The 26903-nt window shown below is 36.6% G+C and overlaps 1 protein-coding gene across 10 annotated transcripts in view; it reads left to right on the forward strand.

Annotated features, from left to right (window-relative positions):
* The window catches only part of VRK1 (VRK serine/threonine kinase 1), an 84228-nt gene that overhangs the window by 8640 nt on the left and 48685 nt on the right, over positions 1-26903 (forward strand). For 4 of the 10 annotated variants that reach the window (XM_047431752.1, XM_017021625.2, XM_047431754.1 and 1 more), the window contains exon 1: positions 292-26589. The exons of 5 other annotated variants lie outside the window; for them this stretch is intronic. In XM_047431752.1, coding sequence (XP_047287708.1) covers position 26589 — 1 coding nt within the window. In that variant the 5' untranslated portion in view covers positions 292-26588. Of the gene's footprint in view, positions 1-291; positions 26590-26903 lie in introns of those variants that run through there. One more of the 10 variants, XM_047431753.1, reaches the window with a different exon arrangement.

The following is a 26903-nucleotide window of genomic DNA, read 5'->3' on the forward strand; positions in this document are numbered from 1 at the left end:
ATAGTGCTATGCAAGCTGCCCATTTAAAACTATCATTGCTTGGCACCTATGCCCTAGTGACAGTTTGACCAACATGTGAGCAGGCATACTGCCATCCTGACAGATGGGCGTGAGTATAGGCAGCCAAGAAACCATGTATCTGCATCTAGTGTATTTGTTAAGGGCAGGATTCCCAGTCGGGGATGTTCAAACGTCTGTCCATTCTGAGCTTTCACGCCTATGGATAAAAGGATGTCATCATTAATCCCATCCTCCATGGGTATATAAGAGCTTCTTGGCTCTTACAGAAGTAGGCAATTGGGGACAATCAGGATAATTGTTCTCTTCTTCATCACAGGACTACTTCAAATAATCCTTTCCTCTTTCTCCTAGCCAGCTAGGTTTACAGTGAGTACAAACCTGTTCAGACATTGTCCTGATACTTGTGGAATATGTGCTTGTTCATTTCTTTTCCAGAGTGTGAAAGCTTTGAAAGTCATTTGATGTTTATGCTTTGGACAGTGACATATAAAATTGGGTCAGGTAGATCTAGTTCAAATATTGACTGCTGTGTGACATTAGAGCAATTCAATTTAGCATCAAATCAAGGTAAAATAATACCTATCTTAGAGTTGTTGAATTAACTGCAAACTGTATACATGAGTCATTTGGTGTAATGTCTGGCCCACAGTAAGTGTTCAATAAATGTTTGTCATCATCATCATTTTCACTTTGATATACCTGAAGGTATTTTTCTCTGGAGAGGTATCTGAAACAAAACTTTTTTCAATTCACTCTCACTTCCCATCATTCCCCTCCCTCCCTCCCTCCCTTCCTTCCCTCCTTCCCTTCCTCTCGCTCTGTCAACCAGGCTGGAGTGCAGTGGTGCGATCATAGCTCACTGCCACCTTGATTTCCTGGGAGCAAATGATCCTCCTCCTGAGTAGCTGGAATGACAAGCCACCATTCCTGGCCCACCATTCTTGTGACATCATCACATGGTCTGGTCTATGATGAAATGCCTCCAACGACAGAGAACTCACTATCTCTAGGGCAGAATTTCTCAACCATGGGACTGTTGACATTTTACATGGGTCACTGTTTGTTCTCTGCACTGTGGGATGTTTAGTGGCATCTCTGGCTACAGAGACAAAATCATCTCTGGTTGAGAACCACTGCTCTAGAGACAGCCTATCCTATTTTTATTAAAGTTTTGACCATTAGAAAATTCTTTCTTACATTGAGTGGAAGTCTACTTAATTTCTTCTACTCACTTCTGCCTTTTGGAGAAATGTGGAACAGGCTGAATCCCTCTTCCACGTAACATCCTTTCAAATATGTGAAAATAGTCATCAAGTATTCTCAGTCTTTTTGATTTGAAACATCTCCAGTTCATTAGCTATTCCTTACATGGCATGGTTTCATGTCAGTTTACCACATTGGTGGCTTTCCTCTTTTTAAAAAAATTTCATTTTAAACTGTAGTGCTTTGAATTGAATTCTGTGCTCCAGACATGGCTTGATACGTGAGAAATAGAGTTGTATCTCTTGTTCTAGATATAACACTTTTCTTCTGTGAGTTAAGGGAAGAATATCACCTTCCTTCTTCTACATAATTTTATTAATATTAGCTATATCCTTTTGTGACCACATCATACATTGAACATAAAGTTGAATAAAATCCCTGCATCTATCTAAGCTATGTCTTTTCATCCTGTTTGTATGCATTAGTTTTGGGGTCCAACCATGGGAGCTTATGTTTGTCTTGTTAAATTTCTTTTTATTGAATTTAACTAACTGCAACTTTTAAAGATATTTTGGAATCCTAGTTCTTGGTTTAATTGGCAGTTTCTAGCCTAAAAGAACATGTATGTGATGATGCTATGCACTGAGATTGGAAATACAAGAGAAAGAAGTCACTCTCTCTGTCTCTCTCTTTCTCTGTCTCTCTCTCTGTCTCTCCCTCCCTCTCTCTCTGTCTCTCTCCCTCTCTCCCTCTCTCCCTCTCTCTCTCCCTCTGTGTGTGTGTGTGTGTGTGTGTGTGTGTGTGTGTGTGCATGTGATTGAAAAGAGATTGAGTATGGAAGCCTGGGTAATACCAATATTAAGAGGCAGCTGGGCAGAAAGGAAGTAAGAAAGGAGACCAAGAAGTGGTGGTCAAAAAGTTGGGATGAAAATAATAGGAGTATCTTGTAATGCTGGAGTGACTCTGTGTTAAGTACTGTGGTAGATACTTGAATAAAAAATGAATAGGACATGGTCCCTGCTTTCTGCCCCTGTTTTTGTTTAATTGTTCAGTTTATGGAACTGCCTAGTCAGTCATTCCTGAAGACTTGGAAGTCATCCTTTATTTCTCCCTCATACCCTTGCCTCTTTGGGTTACCAAGCTCCATTGATTAAAAAAATTTTTTTGAAGTGTAACAAAAAGGTGCAGAAGCATCAAGCTCAATTATTTTTAAAGTTTTACAAAGTGAACACCCTGTAATCACTACTACCCAGATCAAGATACTCATTTTCTAGCCCTCAGAAGCCCAGATTATGTGGGGATATCTTGCAGACAGTAGTTACTCCCACCCAAGGTAAACACGATTCTGACTTACATAACTATAGTTTTACCTGGTTTTGAACTCATGTGTAAATGGAATAATGCCCTCTGGACTTTTTTTTTTTTTTTTTGCTTGACTTCTTTTACTCGATGTTGTGTCTGAGATTCATTCATGTTGTTGCATGTAGTTTGTTATTTTTAAAAATAGCTCTGTAGTTGTGGTTATCTATCCCTGCATAACACACTAGTTTTGATTATTGGTTATTGCGTAACACACCACTCCAAACTTACTAGTGTAAAATAACAACCATTTTATTATGCTCATGGATTCTGTGGATTGGGAATTTGGTGGTTATGGCTTATCACTGCCCTACAATGCTTGGGGTCTAGAATCATTTAGAGGCTTCTCCACTTTCCTGTATGGTACCTTGACTAGAACGTCTAGAAGACTGGGATCATCTGATACTGTTGACCAAACCTACATGTGGGGTCAGGAGGTTTTGGCTTTTCACAGCATGTTGGCTGAGTACCTTGACTAGAACGTCTAGAAGACTGGGATCATCTGATACTATTGACCAAACCTACATGTGGGGTCAGGAGGTTTTGGCTTTTCACAGCATGTTGGCTGAGTGTCCAGAGGAAGCTTCCTGAGAGTGGCTTATCTTCAGAAGTCATATAATCTCACCTCCACCATACTCTATTGGTTGACAAAGACACAGCCTGCCTGGATTGAAGGGGAGGGGACATAGACCTCATGTCTTTATGAGAGGTGTGTCAAAGAATTTGTGGTCATTTTTAAAAACTACCACAAATTACATAGCAAAATTCATTTATTCATTCCATTTTAGGTATTTGAATAGTTTCTATTTTGAGGCAATTATGAACAATGTTGCTATAATCATATACTTATGTATATGTATGTATCTTTTGGCATACTTTTATATTCATTTTGGTTGGGTATATATGTAGGAGTAGAATTCCTGGTCAAAATGTATATGCATCTAGCTTGCTTGCTTGCTTGCTTTCTTTTTTTTTTTTTTTTTTCTGAAACGAAGTCTCCCTTTGTCACCCAGGCTGGAGTGCAGTGGTATGATCTTGGCTTACTGCAACCTCTGCCTCCCAGGTTCAAGTGATTCTCCTGCCTCAGTCTCACAAATAGCTGGGATTATAGGCGCCTGCCACCACGCCTGGCTCATTTTTGTATTTTTAGTAGAGACAGGGTTTCTCCATGTTGGCCAGACTGGACTCCAACTCCTGACCTCAAGTGATCTGCCTGCTTCGGCCTCCCTAAGCGCTGGGGTTACAGGTGTAAGCCACTGTACCTGGCCATGTGTCTAGTTTTAATAGACACTGCCAAATTGTTTTTCATCCTTGTTGTACCTATTTATACTTTTACCAACATATGAAAGTTCCGGTTACTCTGCAGCTTTGCTTCCCTTGATATTGTCAGTTAAATATTACAAAAAATTAATCACTAGTGGCTGTATAGAAGATCTTAGTGTGGTTTTCGTGGGCATTTCTCTAATCACTGATAATTTGAGCACTTCTTCATATGCTTGTTGGCCATTTGGATACCCTCTGTTATAAAGTTCCTGTTCAAGTCTTTTGTCCATTTTCAACAGATTGGATTGTCTTTTTTCTTATTGAAATGTGGAGTTTATAAGGTATCTGGATATGAATCCTTTGTCGAATATGTGAATTATAAAAATCTTCCTGTCTTACAGCTTGTCATTTCACTCTCATAAAGTTTTTGATGAACTGAAATTCTGAATTTTAATCAATTCCAATGTATCCATCTTTTCCTTTACGGGTAGTGTTTTTTTGTGTTTAAGAAGTTTTTGCTACTCTAGGGCGATGAAGCTATTTTCTTATGTTATCTTCTAGAAGCTTTAGTATTTTGCCTTTCAGATTTAGGTCAAAGTCCCCAGGAATTTGTTTGTGTGTTATGAGGTAGGGATCAAGCCTTCTTTTACTTTTTTCATATGGTTATCTATACAAGTAGTAACAGGTGGCATTGGGTCTGTTGGACACAAGCCTGGGAGTTAGGATTCCAGTATTCTCCACCTTAGATTACCTTTAATGAGCCTTCTGCACTTGGGCATATTCTTAAATCCGTCTTGACTCAGCTTCATTTGTGAAATGAAGGATTTGAATGGAATGTTTTCTGATTTTCATTCTGACTGTGGTTTGTTAGATCTCTACCTACTTTTGTAGTTGTATTGAGGCTTGTTAGAATCTTCTTATATCTGGATTGTGTTATCTAAAATATTCATAACATCTCCCAGCTTTATGTTGTTCCCAGTTCGAATGTGCTATCTAGAACTTAGCTGCTGATGAAAGATAGTTTTATTGATCACGTTGGCAAGTCCAAGATCACCTGTTCTTCTGATTTTTTTTTTTAATTTTTTTTTGAGATGGAGTGTCACTCTGTTGATAGTGCAGTGGCGCTATCTCGGCTCACTGCAACCTCCGCCTCCTGGGTTCAAGCGGTTCTCCCACCTCAGCCTCCCAAGTAGCTGGGATTACAGGTGCACGCCACCACGCCCAGCTAATTTTTTGAATTTTTAGTGGAGATGGGATCTCACCATGTTGGCCAGGCTGGTCTTGAACTCCTGACCTCAAGTGATCCACCCACCTTGGCCTCCCAAAGTGCAGGGATTACAGGTGTGAGCCACCGCGCCCAGCCTCTGATCTTACTAATATACTGTGTCCCTTGCCAGGAGCTCATCATGCTTTGTTTAGTAAGTCATGGTAGAAGACACCAATTCCATTAACAAAAAAATTAGCTATCTCCTGCAGAAGGGAGCAAATTCCATTTTTGAAAGTCATCTGCACATACTATTCATCTTACTTGTCCCTACCTTCAGTTTCGTACTTGAACTTTTAAGAATCACATACACAGCATAGAGTTTCATGAATCAGCAGAAGTCATTCAAGATCAGTGAGTTGTAGTCTTGGCAAATTCTCTCTTCCATCTTGGAAAGTGGCATACGTTCCAAATTACTGTATAATATGTTTGTGTCTCTAAGAAGAGTGAGTCAGGAACTACCCTGGATGACAGAACAGAAAATCTACCATTTGCTGGTTTCTTTGTGTTCTTAGTGGCCTGCTTTGAGGTGCTTTTAACCCTTCTTTGAAAATATTTAGTTTAGTTTCCACAGAACGCTATAATCCAGTGTAGCTATTTTTCTTTGTTATCCTTGCTATCACATTTTCCCTCTCATTAACCTTTTTTTTTTTAAAGCAAACAGCTTTAGTGAGATATAACTTACATACCATACAATTCATTCATTAAAAGGTATAATTCAGTAGCTTTTAGTGTATGCACAGGACTGTAACCATCACCATAATCTAATTTTAGAATGCTTTCATCAGTACTAAAACCCCCTACTCATTAACAGTCATTCTCCATTCCCTACTTGATCCCTAAGAAACCACGAATAGTTTTGTCTATAAATTTATCAATTCTGGAAATTTTACGTAATTGGAATCATATAATATGTAGTGTTTTGTGACCAGTTTCTTAACGTGTGTTCAGGGTTCATCCCTGTTGTACATGTGTTAATACTTTATTTCTTTTTATTGCTGAATAATATTCCATTGTATAGGTGTACCAAATTTGATTTATCCATTCATCAGTTGAAGGACTTTGGGGTTGCTTTTGCTTTTTGACTATTATGATTAGTGCTGCTATGGACATTTATGTACAAGTTGTTGTGTGGGTATGTGTTTTCATTTCTCTTGAGTATACCTAGGTAATTCTTTAAGTTCTTTAGGGACTACCAAACTTTCCCAAAGTGGCTGTATTGTTTTATATTCTTACTAACAATCTGTAAGGATTCAGATCTCTCTAGATCCTACCAAAACTTGTTACTGTCTTTTTGTTTATATATGTCCTAGTGGGTAGGAAGTGGCATCTCGTTGTGGTCTTGACTTTCATTTCCCTAACAACTAATGATACTGAGCATCTTTTTGTTTGCTTGTTGGCCATTTGTTTATCTGTTTTGGAGAAATGTCTGTCCAAATCCTTTACCCATTTTTAAACTGGCTTAGTTGTCTTTTTGAGTTCATTAACCTTTTAATGTTCACTCTGATTTACTTTTAACTCAAAATGTTTTTTCTTTTTCTTCCATTTTGTTCAGAGACTGTTCGTTCTGTATTAAGCAGGATGGTTAAGAGGGTTTTCAAGCCCTTTTATGTTTTCTTGGCAACAGGTTCCATTAGCAACATACATACATGTGGATTACTTTAGATTGGAAAATGTACATCTACTGGTTATTGGAATAGATCATTTGTGGTTCATACTGGTTATATTAATAAAATGAACTCTGCTCCTTTTCCTACAAACCAGTAGGTAAAATGCTTGGCTTTGACTTTAATCCTAGCCTTTCATTTTACAGGTAAGGAAAAAAGACCTGGAGAAGTTGGGTCTTGTCTTAAGTTCACAACAGGTAGACCTGGACCATGACTTTAATTCAGCCCATTCTTAAGAACTATCAGTTGGTTTCACATCATGTGGCAGATATGTTAGATTGAAGGGATACCAAGGTAAGACAGGGTCCCTGATTTGGCGATCCTCACAAACTGTGTCACAAGAGATTGACATATACATAACTAATGGTAATACAGTATCACAATTGCTGTGAATTGTGAACAAGGGTGTGTAGTCAGTCCAGTGCTCTTAACACTGCTCGGTGCTGACTGGGATTTTCACCTTACTTTCTTTTGCATATAGGCAGAATTAGATTCTTGAGTAGTTGATTTTGTTTGGGTCATTTAGTAAGAAATGATAACACAAATGCCATCATTCAAACCCTGAGATTACAGAAGAAACAGACTTTAGAATCTTCAGGGTTTTGGACTAGAATCTAGAAGATAGTCTCATTAAGTGCATATTTTATATGTATTATTTTCTTAGCTTTTTTCATATATTCTTCAGTGGCGTATACATCAAGTTTTTTTCAGCTGAATTTGTGTTAGTATATTAAAAAAACAAAACTTTTCGGAAGACGTTTTATTTACATCAGTGATTTATTTCATTACTACGTTTGTCCTTTGGATTTTTGGAAGTCATATTTCTTTTCACTTGACAGAGTTAGGCCATGGGATATGTATTTATAGTAATGTGTGAGTATGTTTAGGTTTGATCTTTTATACTATTTTTATGGCATTTATATTTATGGCTGTGTTATTAGTCATTAAAGCAAATATTTTTCCACCTTAAGACTTCTTGTTTTGCACATGATTTATTCTGCAGTATGTGCTCTCTTTTAATTAGCAAAAAGGCATTTTTACAAAAATTACACTTTCCTTGCAACTTACTGGTTGTAAGGCCGTGGACAAATTATTTAATTTCACTTATCCTTGGTTTCCTTATATAATGATACAGTCAGTATCATTATACCTTTGTTTTATGGTTATCCTAAGAATTAGAGATAATGTGTTTAAGTTACCCAGCATATAGCTTGCCATATAGATGCTTGAATATTGATGGTATTAATTGTAATATATTAGTTCATTTATACATAAGAGCTATAAATTCTAGTTAATGGTTAATCGATTCTTTGTGATATAGATTACTCATTTAGGATTAATTGAGCAAAAATAAGTGATCATATTAATGTAAGAACTTGATATCAGTATTCATTTTCAGTTACTTGTCTTTTAGAGACTGTAGTACTTTAAAGACTAGAGACTATTGCTCTTTAAAGACTGACCTCATCTTTATCTTCAAAACATGAAGGTATGATCCTGTCTGCAGATTAAGGTATTGAGAGTTATTTTTCTATGTTGTCAATTGCAGTGTTTTAACTTGTGGCAGTTGACAGGGCTGACTGTGTTGATCCTGATGCTTTAGAAGCACTGGTAAATTCTAGACTAATATTGGAAAGAATTACTTGACATTTTATTTACTAAAGTTCTTTTTGTTATTCATGAAGAATTCTTAAAAAATACCTCAATTGAAAAATTAATACATGCACACAATAATAAATTTAGACAATATAAAAGAGCAAAGAATGAAAATTAAGCTTCCCACCCTTAAGGCATTCTCTGCTACTAATTGATTATATAGCCTCCTAGTAATGTGCTATATGTACACGCGTGGGGATACATTGTTGCACAGCTCCCAGGGGTGCAGTCATACATATTCAAGCATATGCAGCATATGTATAATGGTCCTTTTATATGAATAGGAATGTTCTCATACAAGGTTCTTTCCTTGTATTTTTCACTTAATGATATATCTTGGCGAATATTCCATGCCAATGTATGTAGAGCTACCTTATTTTTAAAACTGCCTAATATTCCATTCTGTGGATATGCCATGCTTCATTTAATATTATGTTGGTGCAAAAGTAATTGCGGTCCAACCTAAAAGTCCCCTCTTGATGGTAATTAAGGATCTTTCTAGTCTTTTATTGTATATAATGCTGCAGTAACTATCCATGTATATTTGACAGTACGTGAGTATCCCTGCATGATAAATTACTGGAAGTACACTTTGTGAGCAAAAGGGAGTATGCATTTAAAATTTTGATAATGCCAAATTGTTATGCCTTTTTCCTCATACTCTTACCAACCCAGTGCATTTTCTTATTTTTTGAATATGACTAATGTGATAACTAAAAAATGTCATTTTAATTGTAAATTAAGTCTCATTGTAATTTTAATTTGCATTTTATTAATGAAGCTGAGTCTATTTGTTATTGATTTCCAGGATATATTGTTAGTGAAAGAAATCATGGTGAAGAACAAGGTGTATAATATTCTATCTCTCATCTAGGAAATGAGGGATGCAGATAAATGTATTTTATTTGTTATTTAAAAAGAGAAAACAGGAAGGATAACCCCAAAACTAGTGAAAGCCATTATTTGAGGGGAAAAATAATAAAGACGGAGGGGTAGAATCTAGGATTCTCTGAAGATACCTTATATTGTTTGGGCTTTGGAAATGTAAATGTTTTATACATTTTTAAAACTTAAAGAGGAAAATATATCAGTTAAATATTTAGGTTGACATTGTTAGGAACCAAGGTTTTTAACAAATGAGAAAAAAAGCCGGGTGCGGTGGTTCGTGCCTGTAATCCCAACACTTTGGAAGGCTGAGGTGGGAGGATCACTTGAGCTCAGGAGTTTGAGACCAACCTGGGCAACATAGCCAGACCTCACTCTACTAAAAAAAAAAAGAAACAGAACAAAACAAATTCGTGGGCATGGTGGCACTGGTCTGTAGTCCCAGCTGCTTGGAAGGTTGAGGTGGGAGGATTGCTTAGGGCCGAGGCTGCAGTGAGCCATGATTCTGCTATTGCACTCAGCCTGGGTGACAGGGAGACCCTGTCTGGAAAAAAAAAAAAATCTTCTTGCTCTGTCCACTCAAAAAACCTAGAAATAATATTTTAGTGCCCAGATTTTGGTCTCCGAGTACCACTTTCAACTAAAAGGAAATAGGGCCCCTTGTAGAAGTGGCTGATTGTAGGCTTGAGACAGGAAAATGTACAGAAGGAACCTGGAACATTTTGTACTAGGAAAGCAAGGAAAAGCTCCAAGACTAGTAGGGTTGTATCAGGAAACAGTGGCCACATTGAAGGGGCCCCCGTTGTCCAGTGGGAAAGAAAAAAGAAATGAGCAGCCCCTGATGTTCAGAAGCCTCACCGGTAGGCCATGTTCTCCTACTAAACATAAGCGGTCTCACAGAATACCTTCAACAAAGTTTCTCAGAGATCATAATAAAATGAGGCAAAGCATAGACAAAAACCAAGACCACTGTGCCACCTACAAAATACTTAGCCAAAATGAATGACTACCGCTGCTTTACCCATTACAGTTTTATCTTCATTCTCATCTCCCCTCCCTTAGGTAAGATTTATTGAGATACGTAACCACAGAATTACCCTACTTCCTGACAGCATCCAATGTAGAGAAACTCCTCCTTCTTTAGACCCTCCCCCAAATTACTAAACTGAGGCCCAAATTGTGTAATTGATTTTAACATCCTCTTACTGAGATGCCCCATGGTGCCCTGTGGTGTGTGTTCTCCCTCACTGCAATGAGTAATAAGCCTGTCTCGTTTAATTATTGGTGGTCTTGGCTGAAGGGCATTGATAACAGGTAGAGTAATTTGAGCAACAATATCAGTAACAAAAAATACAAGGAACAGATTAAGTGACAGTATAGGGTCACAATCAGCAAAATTCAAAATGGGAAATTTTACAGGACAAATGACAAGAAGAAGGACAAAAAAGAGAACAGTGGCACTCAAAGAGACTCAAAGACACATCAGCCACGTGCATTGACTAGTATTTGGGTCCTGAGTCAAAGTCAACTGTGAGAAGACATTCTTTGAGAAAACTGGATAAATTTGAACCCTTCTTATTAGATGACATTAAGGAATTACTGTTAATTTTGTTAGGTGTGGCAATAATATATGGTGGATTTATTTTTAAAAAGTACCTGTTAAAAGTATTTACATATGAAATGATGTGTTGTCTGAGGTTTGCTTTAAAATAATCTTGGAAGGGGTTAGTAGAAACAAACAAATTGGCCATGTGTTGTTGATAGTTGTTGAAATTAGCTGATGTTTAGGTGGACACTCATTATATCACTTCTCTACTTCATATGTATTTGAAAATTCTTCTAAGGAGAAGTTTTTTTCTTTAAAGCCATATTTATTTCTTTTTCTGTGAGTGTGCCTCTTCATATTCTTCCATTTTTCTGTTGGGCTTTAGTCTTATAATTTAAAGGGTTCTTTAAATACTAAGAAAATTTGCCTTTAGTCATATGTTTTGCAGGTATTTTTAATTTGTTTTTTGAATTTGTTTATGGCTTTTTTTTAATCTGTGGAGAATTTCTATTTTTATTTTGTTAAATTTATCAGTTTTCTTTATGGCTTGCGTGTTTTGTGTGTTTAGAAAAATCTTCTTGTCTCTGAGATTCTGAAAAGTTCTTTCATGTTTTCATGAATTTTTTTAATGACCACAGTACACTTCTGTTATACTTTATTTAGTCACCTTAATTTCCTCTTAGAGTATTTGGAAATATTCTCCCATAGAGCCCTGCCCCAAGACTATATAGGGAAAAATGTTGTTCAGTAGCTGTTCTATCAGATCTATTGATAGATTATTATATAGTGAACATCCAGAGAATTAATTGTAAAAGTTTGCTCACTAATTTTGCTCCCTAAATAGAATGAATGAGAAATCTATTTACCAGATTTTGAAAATATGCTAAGTGTTATGTAAAAGTATTAGCTATATAGTTCACAGTTTCTAATTTTAGAAAAGTTTCAGTGTTTGCTTTATATAAAGAAGCATTCCTTTGAGCTCTTCTCATGGGCCATAAGGTCAAGGAGCCAGGTGTCACCGCTTTTTGAAGTTGACATCTTTTGGCTTGCTCCTTTCCTAGGTCTGACTCTCTTGGATAGGCACAACAGTGATTCTGTTTTCTGGTCTCTGTAGGAATGGATGTTACTGTAGTGTCTTCATCACTTTCGTTTCTGGGAGACCTGTTGAGACCCAGGAATGGATCCTTCTACCTACTATCTCAAAAGTCAGAAACGGAAATACAGTTAAGGCTTCAGGGAATGCTTCCCTTGTAGGGGAAAGTGATAGCAGTGAGGTGTCTTGGGCTTGTGTTTGCAAATGTACCACACTGTGCATTCTCAGTTGAAAACTAACTCTGCAGTTAGTGTTTCTCTTTTAGAACTTTTAGAAGTTTTTTAAGGAATAAAAGTTGAGAAAGTACATTTGATACTATATTTTAAGCATTTTACTCACTATACCAAAACATTTTATAACCTAACGTTGATCACTTTTCTAATACAAGTAAAAAAATTTCTGACTAGGAAGAAATTTTTTCTTTTCTGAAGATAGCCACTTTCTTTTTCAGAGTTAGAAACGTGAGTCTTCACCTAGTTCTTTCCAGCTTAGGTGTGAAAACATGACTAGTGTGACAATTGCTGCTAAAGATTGTATCACAGTTTGAGTTTAGCTTAATGTTTTTCAGGGATAAATCTATGAATTTATGGGATCATTATCTCTGGAGGTTCACTTCTATATCTCATGGTTTGTTGTGTTATATTTTGATACTTATTTTTTTAATGTTATAAAGGTACCATATAGCCATGAATTTTTTTATACTTTCATTGATATGCATAATTCTCCTCTGAGTGAAACCTGGGGACAGATTGGGTGTTCCTAACAGGAACCTGGGGGCAGTTTCCTTAGGTTTTTTATGTTTAGTGATTTTGGTCATAAGTGAATTTTAATATCTAATGAATATCCTTACAGTTCTGTCTCAATCATAGGATTTTTGGGATCAAAATGAAGAAAATATATGAGGACCCTCTGTGTCACTGGGAAGTGGCTTTATAAACTCAAGATTCTGTATTTTATTTTTCAAATGATTTCTTAGCACTAATCAAATGCATTAATCAACTTCTGATTAGCTGGCACATTTATAAGAGGATTGTCTTTAGATGTATTGCTTTCAAATTGTTCCTGATGTAATTTAGCAAAGGAGGTGATGGAGTTCTTTGTTGACTGACTATCTTTCGTTTGATTTTATTCTGACTTACTGTAGTTTGGCAGGAGGCCAGTTATACCAAAATATGTAATTACTTCTTAATCCCAAATAAGTTTGAAATATAAATGAGTCATTTTGTCTTAGGGATATGATGGGTTGGGAAAAAAGTGGTGTTTTTGGCTCCTCCTAAATCACTCATGAATTTATTTTTTACCCAACTTCTAAAATGAACTGGAAAGGTCTTTTATTAAAATCCTCAGATACGGTAGACTTGTATGTAATAGAGCAATTAAAGTGAAAATGAATGACTTAATGAAGAAAGTAAGATGTACCAGAATATCTAGGTCAGTGGGTCAGTCTGTGCATCACAGTACCCTGTGTAGCATGAAAATATAAAGATGCTGGGGCTGTTGTGGAGTAAGGCCTTTACTGTTCCAAAGTTCCACTGATAATTAGGTTGGTGCACAAATAATTGCGGTTTTGGACTGTGAATTTTAAATCATTATAACTAGGCTCAAACACATCTTTATCAAAATAGGAGCCATTGCAGTCAACACATTTTTGCCAATGAGAAGTAAGTTAGTTTATTCCTGTAGTGTAAAAATCCGTGTTTTGGGATTCGATGAACTCTTGGAAAGCATTTTCTGCATCCTGCTGGTTGTGCAAGCGTTTTCCCTGCAAAAATTTGTTGATATGCTTGAAAAAGTGGTAGTCGGCTGGTGAGAGGTCAGGTGAATATGGCGGATGAGACAAAACTTTGTAGCCCAATTCATTCAACTTTTGGAGTGTTTGTTGTGCGACGTGCAGTCGGGCGTTACCCTGGAGAAGAATTGGGCCCTTTCTGTTGACGAATGCTGGCTCCAGGTGTTGCAGTTTTTGGTGCATCTCATCGATTTGCTGAGTGTACTTCTCAGATGTAATGGTTTCGCCAGGATTCACAAAGCTGTACTAGGTTAGACTGGCAGCAGACCATCAAACAGTGACCATGACCTTTTTTTGGTGCAAGTTTGGCTTTGGAAAGTGCTTTGGAGCTTCTTCTCAGTCCAACCACTAAGCTTGTTGTTGCCGATTGTTGTATAAAATTCACTTTCATCACTATCCGATCGAGAAATGGTTCATTGTTGTAGTGTAGAATAAGACAAGATGACACTTGAAAATGATGATTTTTTTTTTTTAATTTTTGCTCAGCTTATGAGGCATCCACTTATAGAGCTTTTTCACCTTCCCAATTTGCTTCAAATGCTGAATGACTGTAGAATGGTCAACGTTGAGTTCTTCGGCAACTTCTCTGTAGTTGTAAGAGGATCAGCATCGATGATTGCTCTCAATTGATCGTTGTCAACTTCCAATGGCCAGCCTCTACCCTCCTCATCTTCACGCCTCTCATTTCCTTTGAAAAACTTCTTGAACCACACCACACTGTATGTTCGTTAGCAGTTCCTGGGCCAAATGCGTTGTTGATGTTGTGAGTTGTCTCTGCTGCTTTACAACCCATTTTGAACTCGAATAAGAAAATTGCTCAAATTTGCTTTTTGTCTAACATCATTTCCATAGTCTAAAATAAACAAAATAAACAGCAAACAATAAGTCATTAGCCAAAAAACATAAAGTGAGAAATGTCCATTAAAATGATGTATAACATAACCACATTTATTTAAGAATGTATTATAATATCAAACAGCAAATTCCAACAATGCAAAAACCACAATTATTTTTGCACTAACCTAATAATTTTAATGTATAGTTAAGATAGATGTTACTGCCTTAGATGATGGATCGTTAGGCATTTGGCTTTATAATTTTGTTCTGAATTTCCTAGCATTCACTGCAAAAGAGGTAACAGGAGTTTCATAGCTCTTGATATCTTAAACACTTGCATCATTGGAAGAGACACTTTTTTCCCTACCATGAACCCTAGAGAGTTTGATTTTGTAGATGTCCACAACTGTTCACTATCTTTAATAAATACTTTTATTAAAGGCTTCAGAAACATTCTTTCCCTGGGAAGTTTTTTATTGATCCTTGTTTGAAGTTGATACATAATATTATATCATAACTGTGTGATGCTGTTTCTGCATATAGCTGAATGCAGCTTTTTGAGACTAAAGGTTGCATTTCCTTCATCTTTGAATTTCCAGCCCCTAGCACAGTTCCTGGCACATATTTTGGAGGTATTTTATAAATGCCTTTGGAAAAAAGGAGTTCAAGTGTTTAATTTCCTGGCAAACTAAATAGCTATAAAGAGAGAGCTTAGAAAGTCTAGAGTAAGAGATGATTAGCATGCTTCCTAGACCATCTGTCACTAATACCAATTGTTTCTACTTGGCACTGCAGACTTGTTTTTTGAGGGGGAGGGCAGCTTGTGTAAAGTTAAAAAAAACAAAACAAAACAAAATACCAGAACTCTTAGGTTATTCTATACCCCTCTGTTTAGTGGCTAAAAAGTCATTGCTGTTTTCTAAAAAACATTGACATTCTTATTCAGTAAAGATAAATGCAATTATTGCTTTTTCCAATAGCAATACAGTTGTAATAACTGGTAGCTGTTTCTGCCTTGCCCCCTTACAGTCTATTCTTGATGCGTCAACCAGAGTGATCCATTCAAAGTGCAAGTCAGAACATGTACACTCCTCTGCTCAAGACCTTCCAAGATTTCCCCATTCAGAGTTAACGTTGAAGTCCTTACAATAGCCTGAGTGTTGGGCATGTTCTCCACCTCTGTGCTTCTTTACATCTGACCCCAGCCATTGCTCTCCCCTGGCTAATTCTTCCTCAGCTGCACCAGTCCCCTTGCTGTTTCTAGAACAAGCTGGACATGTTCTTGCCTTAACGCCTTTGTAGTCGCTCCTCCCTCAATGTGGGATGCTATTCCTCTAGAGCATCTGTGTGGCTAGATTCTCTCACTTTTTTTTTTTTTTTAACAAGTTTTTGCTTAAATGTCACTTTCTTGTGAGGCTTTACCAGACCATCTTTTTAAATTTCATTCCCTCCCGCCCCCAACTCCCTGTCCCTGCCTTTTTTTTTTTTTCCTTAGCCCTTATACCATTGGACATATGACATGTTTTAATTTTTAGAAAATTATTTTTCTCTACTGAATAAAATATAAGCTCCATGAAGGCAGGAGTTTTTGTCTGCTTTGTTCACTTTTTATTCTTGTCTTGTAGAACAGTTCCTGCACAGAGTGTGCTGTCAATAAATACTTGTTGAGTAAACAAATTAATTAAGCAGGCAGTATGTATTGTAATAATGTAGAATTCCAATGGGACTCAGTATTGTTTTTATTTTAAATTTTAAGAGGGGTGTAGCATGGTAAAGTTTTTGTATTTCTTGTCAAAAAGTTGCAGACCATTCACTCTAATAGCACTACTAAATTACTGATATTTACATTAAAGGGAAAATAGGGTCTAGTCCTATTCTCTACTTTTTAGGCACAGAATTTGATTCATTGCAAAACCATTCCTATCGTGAGGTGACTTGTGACAGAGGCACTACAGAAGCACTTAACATTTTGGATTTGTATCAAGCTTATATAGTTTATAGATGGAATGTATTTTTAGAATGGACTAACACATTAGCAAAAAATATAACAAATGTAAAATCTTTGGTGAGAATTAAGTCAGCAGGAGAATTTTTCTTGACTTAGGTGTTCAGTGCATGATTTTCAATTTGATTGAAGTGTTGTGAACTACAATGCAAGTATACAGCAAGTTCCAAACCTTGTAGAAATCCATTTACCCTGTGGTGAAATTCAGAGTCCTGACAGTAGCCTTCAAGGCCCTACTTGATCTCTTGCTCCTGTGCTAACCTTTGGGACTTGATCTCCTGCTTCCCCCTTGCTCACGCCACACCAGCCACACTGGCATTCTTACTCTTTGGTTGCCAGGTGTGCTCCCACCTTAGGGTCTTTGCACAACTCGTCCCTCTGCCTATACTCTCTGCCCAGATACTCACATGGTCCTCTTCCTCAACTCCTTCAAGTCCTTGTTCCAATGAGCAAAGTCCTTTCAGAGGAGGCTGACCATGACCACTCTGTTTCACTGCAAGCTTTCCCCTTCTACCTTCTACTCCCTATCCTCTATCTCCCTTTACCTGCTTTATGTTTTTAAAACATGACTGGATTTTCTGAAATATTAGGTAACATATGCATTATTTGTTCTTTTTATCTGTCTCTTCCTGCCAGAATGTGTCAAAAGAGAAGGACCTTTGTTTTGTTCCTTGAGGTATAGCAAGTGCCTAGAACAGTGCTTGGCACATTGTAGATTATCAGTGACTATTTGTAGAGTGAGTGAATGAACAGACTATGTCATTACCCTTCATGAATTTACATAATCCACAGTTAACATTTATTTATTGCTGTGATAACTAGTAGATTTATGTAATTAGCATCTATAAGAATAACCTCTGAAAAAAATACCAATTGTAATGCTTTTCCAGTTGTGTGTGTATGGGGGCAGGAATGATTCTGTAGTCATCAGGAACACGTTGGTATTATCTTGATTCAACTTAATTTCTGCCTTTTTTATCTGCTGCATCTAGAAACTGTTTTCTTTTTTAAAAAATTGTGATAAGAAACATAGAAGATTTCCCATCTTAACCATTTTTAAGTGTACACAGTAGCGTTAAGTGTATTCATATTGTTGTGAAGCAGATCTCTAGAACTTAATTTGCAAATTCGAAACTCTATATACCACTAAACAACAACTCTCTTTTCTCCCTCCCTCCAGCCTCTGGCTTATTTCACTTAGCATAACTGTCCTCAAGATTCATCTGTGGTGTAGTGTGTGTCAGAATTTACTTCTATTTTTCAAGGCTGAATAATATTCCATTGTATATACATGCCACATTTATTCATTCATCTGTTAATGGACACTCAGGTTGCTTCCACCTTTTACTATTATTGTGGATAGTGCTGCTGTGCACATGGGTGTACAGATACCTCTTTGAGACTACAAACTTTTTCCTAGAGATCTGTTAACTTAAAGGAATAAACATCAATTATTTTTTCAAATAAATGTCCTGAATTTCCAAAGATCTTAATTTTATTGAGTAGCACATTTTTAAATATATAATTTATTTTCACATAATAAAATTTGTATTTTGGTGTAAGCTGTGGAAATGTAGGTGGTCTGCTTTTTTAACATGATAAAACCCTGGAAAACTGTATATGATAAAGTGGAACAAGCTCCCTGAATGAAAGCTCATTTCATCTTGAAAAAAGAATTTACTGTATTCCTCAAATTGCCTAGGACTGTGAGTAGCCTAAATGGTAGACTGGAATCCAGGATACTACTGTATTTTGAAAGCAAAAGGAAGAGAATGTTTCAAGAAAGAAAGAATGAGCAGTGTTGAGTGCTTCTGGGCAGGCAAATGAGATGATTCAGTGTCAGCTAGATTTCATAGCATGGAAGTCACTGGTGACCTCAGCAAGGGTTATTAGAGAGGAATCATGAAGGCGGATCTCGGAGTGAGTTGGATAAGTAGGTGAAAGGAAATATTGGCAAGTACAGACGATTATTGAAATGGCAAGTACAGACATTTGGCATTGAAAGGGAAAAGAAAGGATGATAGCAGAGATAGCAGAGGGGGATTAAAAACATTAATTTTTTTTTTTTTTTTTTCCCTCTGTCGCCCAGCCTGGAGTGCAGTGGCGCCGTCTCGGCTCACTGCAAGCTCTGCCTCCTGGGTTCACACCATTCTCCTGCCTCAGTCTCCCGAGTAGCTGGGACTACAGGCATCCACCACCACGCCTGGCTTATTTTTTGTATTTTTAGTAGAGACGGGATTTCACCATGTTAGCCAGGATGGTCTCGATCTCCTGACCTCGTGATCCACCCGCCTCGGCCTCCCAAAGTGCTGAGATTACAGGTGTGAGCCACCGCACCCGGCCAAAAACATTAATTTTTTAAAATGGCAGAGCCATAAGCATTTTTAATAGCTGATGGGAAGGATCTAGTTGAGGGAGACATTGAATATATTAGAGAAGGATTAATTAATAGTGTAAGTCTTGAGAAGGTTGGAGGGGATGGGATCCAAAGCAAAGGTGAAGGACTTGATGTTTGATAGGAGGAGGATAGTTTCTTTCAATGTGATAGGAGAGAAGGAAGCTAGGATTGGCTTGAAGTGGGTGCAGGTGGTTTGTAGGTGTGGCTCTTAGAAAGATAGGGAATTCCCATCTGAAGTTTCTGTTTTCTCTCTAAACTAGAGTAGGTCATCTGTTGATAATTATGGCTTAGGAAGGGGAATTAGAGTTTTGAGGAAGAATAAATAGAGTTTGACATAGTCATTGTAGAGGGTGGTTGCTGGACTTTTGAGGAATGACATTGTCCTTTGCAGTTGGGTGATGTATATTAAACATAAAGTTAGATATCTGGTAGTTGGGGAAAAATACTAAACTTTTTTGCTGTTTAATTTTATGGATTTAGTGAATTCCTGCTAACTACAATGTATTGTGACTAAGACATTTCTCATATACGAGGAGCTTATAAGCTTATAGGGAAAGTTATTTGTCACATGCAATAAGAGGTACAAACAGTACTGAAACTTCAGGTCATATCTGACTTCAGAAGAGATAGGTCTTTAGGTATGGGGAAAATGTCAATCAATGTATAAGGAGAGGTTAAATGAGAGAAAAGGCTTTGTGCTGGGAAGAATGGAGATAAAAATATGTTGGTTCCATGTTAATAGAATGGTGGAGTCCAGTTTGTCCAGAATTATCCTTGAATCAGAGTGTCTCTATACAGTGTAAAACATATCAGAGAAGTTTATGACTTTAAAGAAAATTTCATAAAAATACATGACCCCCTAAAGGAGTTTACATGCAGAACTATTTTGGGGAAAATTTATGAGTAGTCATTCAGTATATAACGAGCTTTATTCAGCATTGTAATTTTCCAGTTTGTGTATGATGAATTCATAGAGCTCATTAAGTGTAAGTGTCATTGTTGTGATTCATTCAAGCCTTTTTCCTCTCTTCAGCAGAAGGTTAAAAAAAAATTCCAAATTTGAATCCAGGACTTGAAGAATGCCAGTTGTCTAAATACAGTACCATATTGTGATAAATATAGCTATTGAAATTTTTAAAAATCTATTCACAAAACTTTATTTTAATATTCATAGCAGAACTTTTTTTGGAATGTTATCTGAAAAACAGAGGACCATTTTATCATCAGAGCTGACTATTAATTAGGGTATTGTTGCAGATATAAAAGTTGATCTGCCACTGAAATTCTATTTGAATATGTATAGTTCCAAGCTTGCTTTGTGTATTTAATAACTTTAGTACCATAATTACTCTGTTTACAATTAAATTTTGGTGAATATGCTAATATGGAATATACCAATGAGTGATTTCAGCAAAGGGCAGTATTGATTTGCATCTTGATGTGCTTTTCAGTTGCATCTGCATTTCATTTAATATCAGAGGAAAAGAAGTGGTCAGATTATGTAATGCTAAACTTTTTTTTCTTTGAAACCTCTCTGTTGCATTGGCTACTATAAAAGTAGACTTGCATAGAGTCAGAGGGGCTGAAATTATGTGGAAAGATTTAATTTTGTTAAAGTTTGTGCCTTTCGGTATATTCATTAATAGAAACCTTAATGCAAGCATCGGTTTCATTATTAGAAGAAACCTATAATGTACTAAAGTGATTGTTTAATTCTAATTAGTATTTTAAGTTCTTCAGAAAACTCACTAACTTACTGAAGCAAATACTTGTGATTATTTTATTTCTTTGAGCAGGGACTTCTGGTTTTAAATAATTCCTCTTTTAAGAAATTGCCTGAAAAGCAACAAGGAGATTGAGAAACAGTGATTTCATATTCTGAGAAACTGAGAAGCTTCTGTAGCCCTGAACTAGAAAATAAGGAGCTGCCAAATTCAGTGAAGGTCAAACAGGGTATGGGAGGATGCTGAAAGGGAACCTGAGACACAGATGTCAGGAAAGCTGGCAGAACTGTGTTCTCTAAAGAAAGGGGCACACCCTGAGAGGCACATTAATAAGCCTTTGTCTGGGAGAACAGGAATAGGTGTTGGCAGGCAGGGGCACTAGGGAACTTTATGGTGTGATGAAAATGTTCTGTCTGGTGGTCGCACAAGTGTATGTACGTTTGTAAAATTTTGTCAGTTTACTTTGTGCAAGTTAGTAATTTATTGCCTCTCAACTCCAAATTCACCCCTTTTTGCTCTATTTATATACTCGAGCCAGACCTTTTAAATATTTTTTCTTTTCCTGGACAGTGTTAGATTTTGTCAGTAGAAGGTGAGGAAGGGATACTGCAAGACTTAGCAGAGAAAGTGCTTCTCTTGTTGCCATGTGCTTGTTTTTTTGTTCGTTTGTTTGTTTTTCTTAATCTCTTAAGGTGTGGCTGTCAGCTCTACTTACTCTCCTGTAAGCTTCATTAGCACCCTGGTAGGCAGCTTCTTGCTCCCACCAGTATCTCGTGGGCAGCAGATTCCTGTGGATAAGCTGTAGCTCACTGGCCCTACAGAGAACTACCCTACCGCTCAGTGGGTCACTGCCACAGTCTGTCCAGTGAAGTGTTCCTTTCTTGGGCACTCTCCCTTAGCCTTGGAGACAGTAACTGCTCCCTATATTTGCTAGTTCCATATTCCTTCAAATTGTCTTTTACATCTATTAGCACTTGACAACTTTTTACAAATTAATAATTTTTTATTTATGTTACATTTTCTTGTTTTAATTGATTGTTTGTTTTCTAGCTCCTGAATGGACACTGACTGTTATCACACACTTGTGATTTGTGTACCTTACTTACTGTGTTAATTTTACATAAATAAACAGGATGAAATAATAAGTATACTTCTTGATTACTTTCTATAACATGAACCAATTGTTTAAACACCAAGATTGGGATATAGAATGCTACCAGATCCCTAGGAACCATCCACCTCCAGCCATTTCTTCTGACCCTTAGTCCCCAAAGTGATATCTGCTGTTTGACTTGTATCACCATTGATTTGTTTTATTATTGAAATTCATGTAAATGGAATATAGTATGTACTCTTCTGTCTGGTGCTGCTTTTTCTTAACACAGTGTTTGGTATGTCCATCCGTCTTACTATATTCATTTTCCTGTTGTTGGACATACAGGTTTCCAGTTTGTGGCTGTTGTGAATAAAGCTGTTATCATTCTTGTACATGTCTTTGGGTGGACATGTACATGCATAGAAGTTGAATTGCTGGGTCGGTTAGCAGGTACTGCCAAATGAATTTTCAAAATGATCGAAACAGTATACAGTGTAGGAGAGTTCTGTTTGTTCCAACTCCTTACCAACACTTTGTAGTGTCAGACTTTTGCAGTTGAAGTCTTCAAAACCTTAAGGAATAGATCAAATGCTGCTTAAACTCCTTAGATTGTGGTAAAGGAAGAAAAGCTTCCAAAATCTTATTATGAAGTGAGCATAATATTGATACTTAAACAGATAAATGTAGCAGAAAAAATAAACTACAGACCATTCTTATGAATATCAGTCTTGTCTATGGCTATACCACCCTGAGTGTGCCCGATCTCGTCTAAATATCAGTCTTGTTCCTAAATAAAATATTAGCAAATAGAATTCAGCAGCACACTAAAAAAATTATAACTGCCACCAAGTATAATTTTTTTTTTTCTAGGAAGGTTGTGTTAAATAGCTCTATATGAGTATGTGGTATACCAGCTGTATTTAAGTCTTTTGTGTTTCTCAAGATGCTAAAAGATAAGTATTGAACAAGTATTTATTAGTACACTGCCATTGGCCCTGCTTATACCTGGCTGAAGCAGGCCCTAAGGATTGACAGGGCCTTTGGTTGCCTGAGGCCACCTGAGATTATAGGGGCCAGCAAGAGCAAGAGGGAATCCTCCACATCTTTTTCCATTAGAAGCCACAGGAGGGAGTTTCATTTAGATACATTTTAAAGAAATATTTCTGTCATAGTGGCCTCTTGCAGAGCAGCTGAGTATATTTCAGTGACTTCTTAACGTTTATGCGCAAGACACAGAGCTACTCTGTTTAATATACAACATATAAGATGTGCCTGGAAATAAAAAGCAAGACTAATAATTCAAAAGAAAAATGAGCCGAGGTTACTCATAGTTTACAGGAAATAAAGTACAGATTTTGCTTAGGAGTGTTTTCTTTTAATTTTTTTTTTTTTTTTTGAGAGGGAAGTGGGAATGGACTGGGCATGCTCATTGAGTATGAGAGGATTTCCAGTTTTGATCCCTTGGTGAATATTAATTATAGGAGCAATAATCATTTTGTTAAGGAACCTGGTTTCTTTTCATGGGAAGTGGTATTTTAAGACTACAATTTGTTTGCTAGGGATGCTCTTTGCTGCTGGGTTGATTATTGTTTCTAAGCTTTTTAGTGAATGGGGCTAGGAAATACAAAGATGTGTTTCTGTGTATGTGTTTATTTTAAAGATACATTCTGAACTAAAAATATTTCCAAGTACAGCATTTTTACCTTTACCTATTCTATCTTTTATCTCTGTCTCTTTCTTCCATATCTGAATCCTGATGTTCAGGGACACAAGAGAATGATAGAATAATAATATCACATAATTACTCATTTGCATCATTCCACATGTATGCACACAACAGTCTTAGTTAACAAAATCAAGTATCACAATATGATTTCTGGAAAGTTGCCTTTTTTGCGTATGTTATCCCATTTTTTGATAGTTGTACTATATCTACAGTGTCAGTACATTTGCCCATTATATACTCTTTTCTCTCTTTTATAACCCTTGTTGAGTCTCAGTTCTACAAGTATATATTTACTGCTCACTGATATTGACATTTCTTTAGTCATTTTGGATATTGCTATGGGAGTGGCAGACCCCTTCTACTGGGCTTCTTCTCTAGTAGATTCTTATTGCTGTTTTCTATATTGATAACACTTAGCAGTCTTTATACTCGAAATTTAGCTGGGTATAAAATCTTTGGTTCATGTTTCCTTTCTTAGAGTCTTAAATATGTTACTTTTTTTCCCCTGGCATAAAATGTTGCTGTTAAAGTGATGACAATTTGATTTTATTTTCCTTATAAAATATCTGCAGATGCTCAAAAAGTATTTTCATTTACTATTAAGTTAACTAAATTATATCTTGGTGATGGTCATTCTGGGTTGATTTTTCAAATGTATGTGATATGACCTTTCAAAATGTAGTTTTATGTTTAAATGAAGTTCAGGAAAGTTTTCTTGAATTAAATGATTTTTAATATTCTGTTCCCTTGCTTTGATTTTCTTTGTTATATGTATGTTGGTTTTTTTGTGTATGTTTTCTTAAACATTTTTTGGTCCTTTTTGATTTTTTTGTTTTTTTCCTTTTCACTTTCTATTTCTCTTGTCATTAAAAAGTTTTATTTACTCTTATGTTCCTTCTCATGTAGTTTTTATTTCCGAACTGATTTTTGTCTTTCATTTTCAATTATTCTGTCATCTGATTTCTGAATTTTTCTAATTCTGATTGATGTTAGTCTGTACATAAAGTGTTTTTTAGCTTGTTTTGAAATACTAATTTATAGCTATCAACCTTTTGGGAGGCATGTTTTCTTATGTACTTTTCTAAAGGGATTTTTTTTCTCTTTAAAAATACCAACTTAGTGTGGCACTAGGCTTTGATCCATTTTTGTTGCTGAGTTTCGTATGCAGCCAGTTTTCCCTTATATGCAATTAGTTTTAGATAGTCTGGTTCAGGGTGAGTGTATGTCATTCTCTAGATCCCACTCTTCACTTGTTTTTGTGTAGTATTCCAAAATACTGAGGCTAACTTATAGATCCACTTTCATTTGAACTTTCTTTTTCCTTTCTTCGTATTATCCTTGTGATGTTCACTTTGGCTTCATCCCTAGCAGTTTCTCCTCAGCCTGAGGCTTTGACCTAGAAGGGGCTTTGGCTGGTTAGTTTTGAGAGTTGTAGAGGCAACAGGCTTCAGCCTCTTGAGACCTCACCAAGGACCCCTTGCACTTCCTGGCTGTGGGAGTGGCAGAGCCCTTCTTCTTTCAGTTGCTTTTCTCACAGTGTCTTGTGTGCTTCTAAGAAGTAGCTCCTGATAATTTTTGGATCCTAAGATTTATCAGAGGCACCATACTTTCTTCTGCTTCCTTCTTTACAGTTGCTGATACCACACAGATCTTACTGCTGTTTGTCATGGTCTGTCTTCACCTGCTCAAATTTTGTAGAGATAAAGGGATACTGTCCCTCCGTTTGGTTGGAGAGGTTGTCCATAGGTGTTGAGTTTTGCTATCCAGTTGTCCTGTCCAGTTTTATGGGGGAATTCAGGGAGATGAAACAGCTGTGCTGCTGCCTCCACCATGTCCAGCGTTAACCTTCAGGAGCTGTGATTTAGAAGCATATTGAAGATACTGACAGCGATGACGCTGTTCTGTGGGACTATTTTTAGGAAAGAAAGTCATTCCAAGCCTTAATTAATTATTACAATTAGTTTCAATTAGTTGGCCACAGAAATAAAACTAAAAATAAAAGCAAACAGCTTTATTTGGAGGAAAATCACTTTTTATTGACCACAATTTACATTGAATAGATGCTGAGCCAGAATATTTCATTTAAAATATATTTTTGTCACTTCTGGAAAGGAATTTCAGAAAAACACAAAAGATTGTCCAGTCACTATTTTGAGATATATAAAGATAAAAAACATGTTGTCCACTCATTTTAAACTATTTTGATTACTATAAGGAACCAGTCAAATAAGAGATTACTCTGATGATTTGATAAAGTGGGTTGAAATTCAGAAGGGCATCTGTTTTAATATTTGGAAGTACTATGTGTTTTAGTTGTTTCTTTTATTTGGTTTACTACCATAGGTGTAAAAGTAACCTTTCTTGGTGTTTTGAGTCTAGGCTAGCTTGGTTGGCACAGAAATTCCATTTTGCAAGATTTTACCATGAGTAAAAACACATTAATTAAGAGAACTAATTGACATGAAGAAATAAGAGACACTTTTATTTATTTTGAAGATGTTTTTGTTAACTTAGAGAAGATTTAGACAGCGAAGATGCATTAGTATTCTATAGGAAAAAATTCAATTTAAAAAGTCCCCAGTAAATTAATAAGGAACATTTTCAGATAAGGAGTTTGTGTATTTGGAGTGATAGTGGGTGAGTTGGTGAAAAATTCCAGTTGAATCTAGTGTGTATGTATGTAGCATGTCTAGGCTCAAAACTGAGCTCAAAACTGAGCTACAGACTTCTTTCATCTGAATAGCCATTTCAAGTGTTGCATACTGTCTTAATCATTCTTATTAACCTTCTTTCTTTTCTATATCTCCAGTATGTTTTTAGGGAACTGTGGAACCTAACAAATACTTATTTTAAATCTTTTTTGATTAACATTTATAGAACCGAGAGTTTGAAATCACACAACAAACACATGTTCACATGCATACTAGTACAAATTGAGTTCCTTCAGTCAACGAAGTGAGTTACACCTGAGGGCACTTGAAGCCCAGTGTGAAGTGACTTGATCAAGATTACCCAACCAGCTGGTGTCATACCTGCAATCCAGGTCTTTTGATTCCAGTCAGTACTCTTTTCACAATAAAACACTGCTTTCTCTGAATGTTATGTTAAACTTATGTGTCAGTGAGAAAAATGAATCAAGATTCATCTCCTAAAGGATAGCTAATGGGAAAGAAAGCTTAGGAATTCTGGGTGTCACCAGCCTTGCCCAGATGATTAAGCCACAGTTTTTCCTGTCACTCTTGAAAGTTGTGCTCCTTCCTCACAGTGACTTCCATAATTGTGGAGCATGTTGGTGAGGTCTTGGAGCCAGGTGGTCACCGGTGCAATTTTCTGTTGTTCCACCACTTACCAGCTTGCTGAGCCTTAGTTTC

The sequence above is a fragment of the Homo sapiens genome, chromosome 14, assembly GCF_000001405.40.
Source record: "Homo sapiens chromosome 14, GRCh38.p14 Primary Assembly".
Classification (NCBI taxonomy): Eukaryota; Metazoa; Chordata; class Mammalia; order Primates; family Hominidae; genus Homo; species Homo sapiens.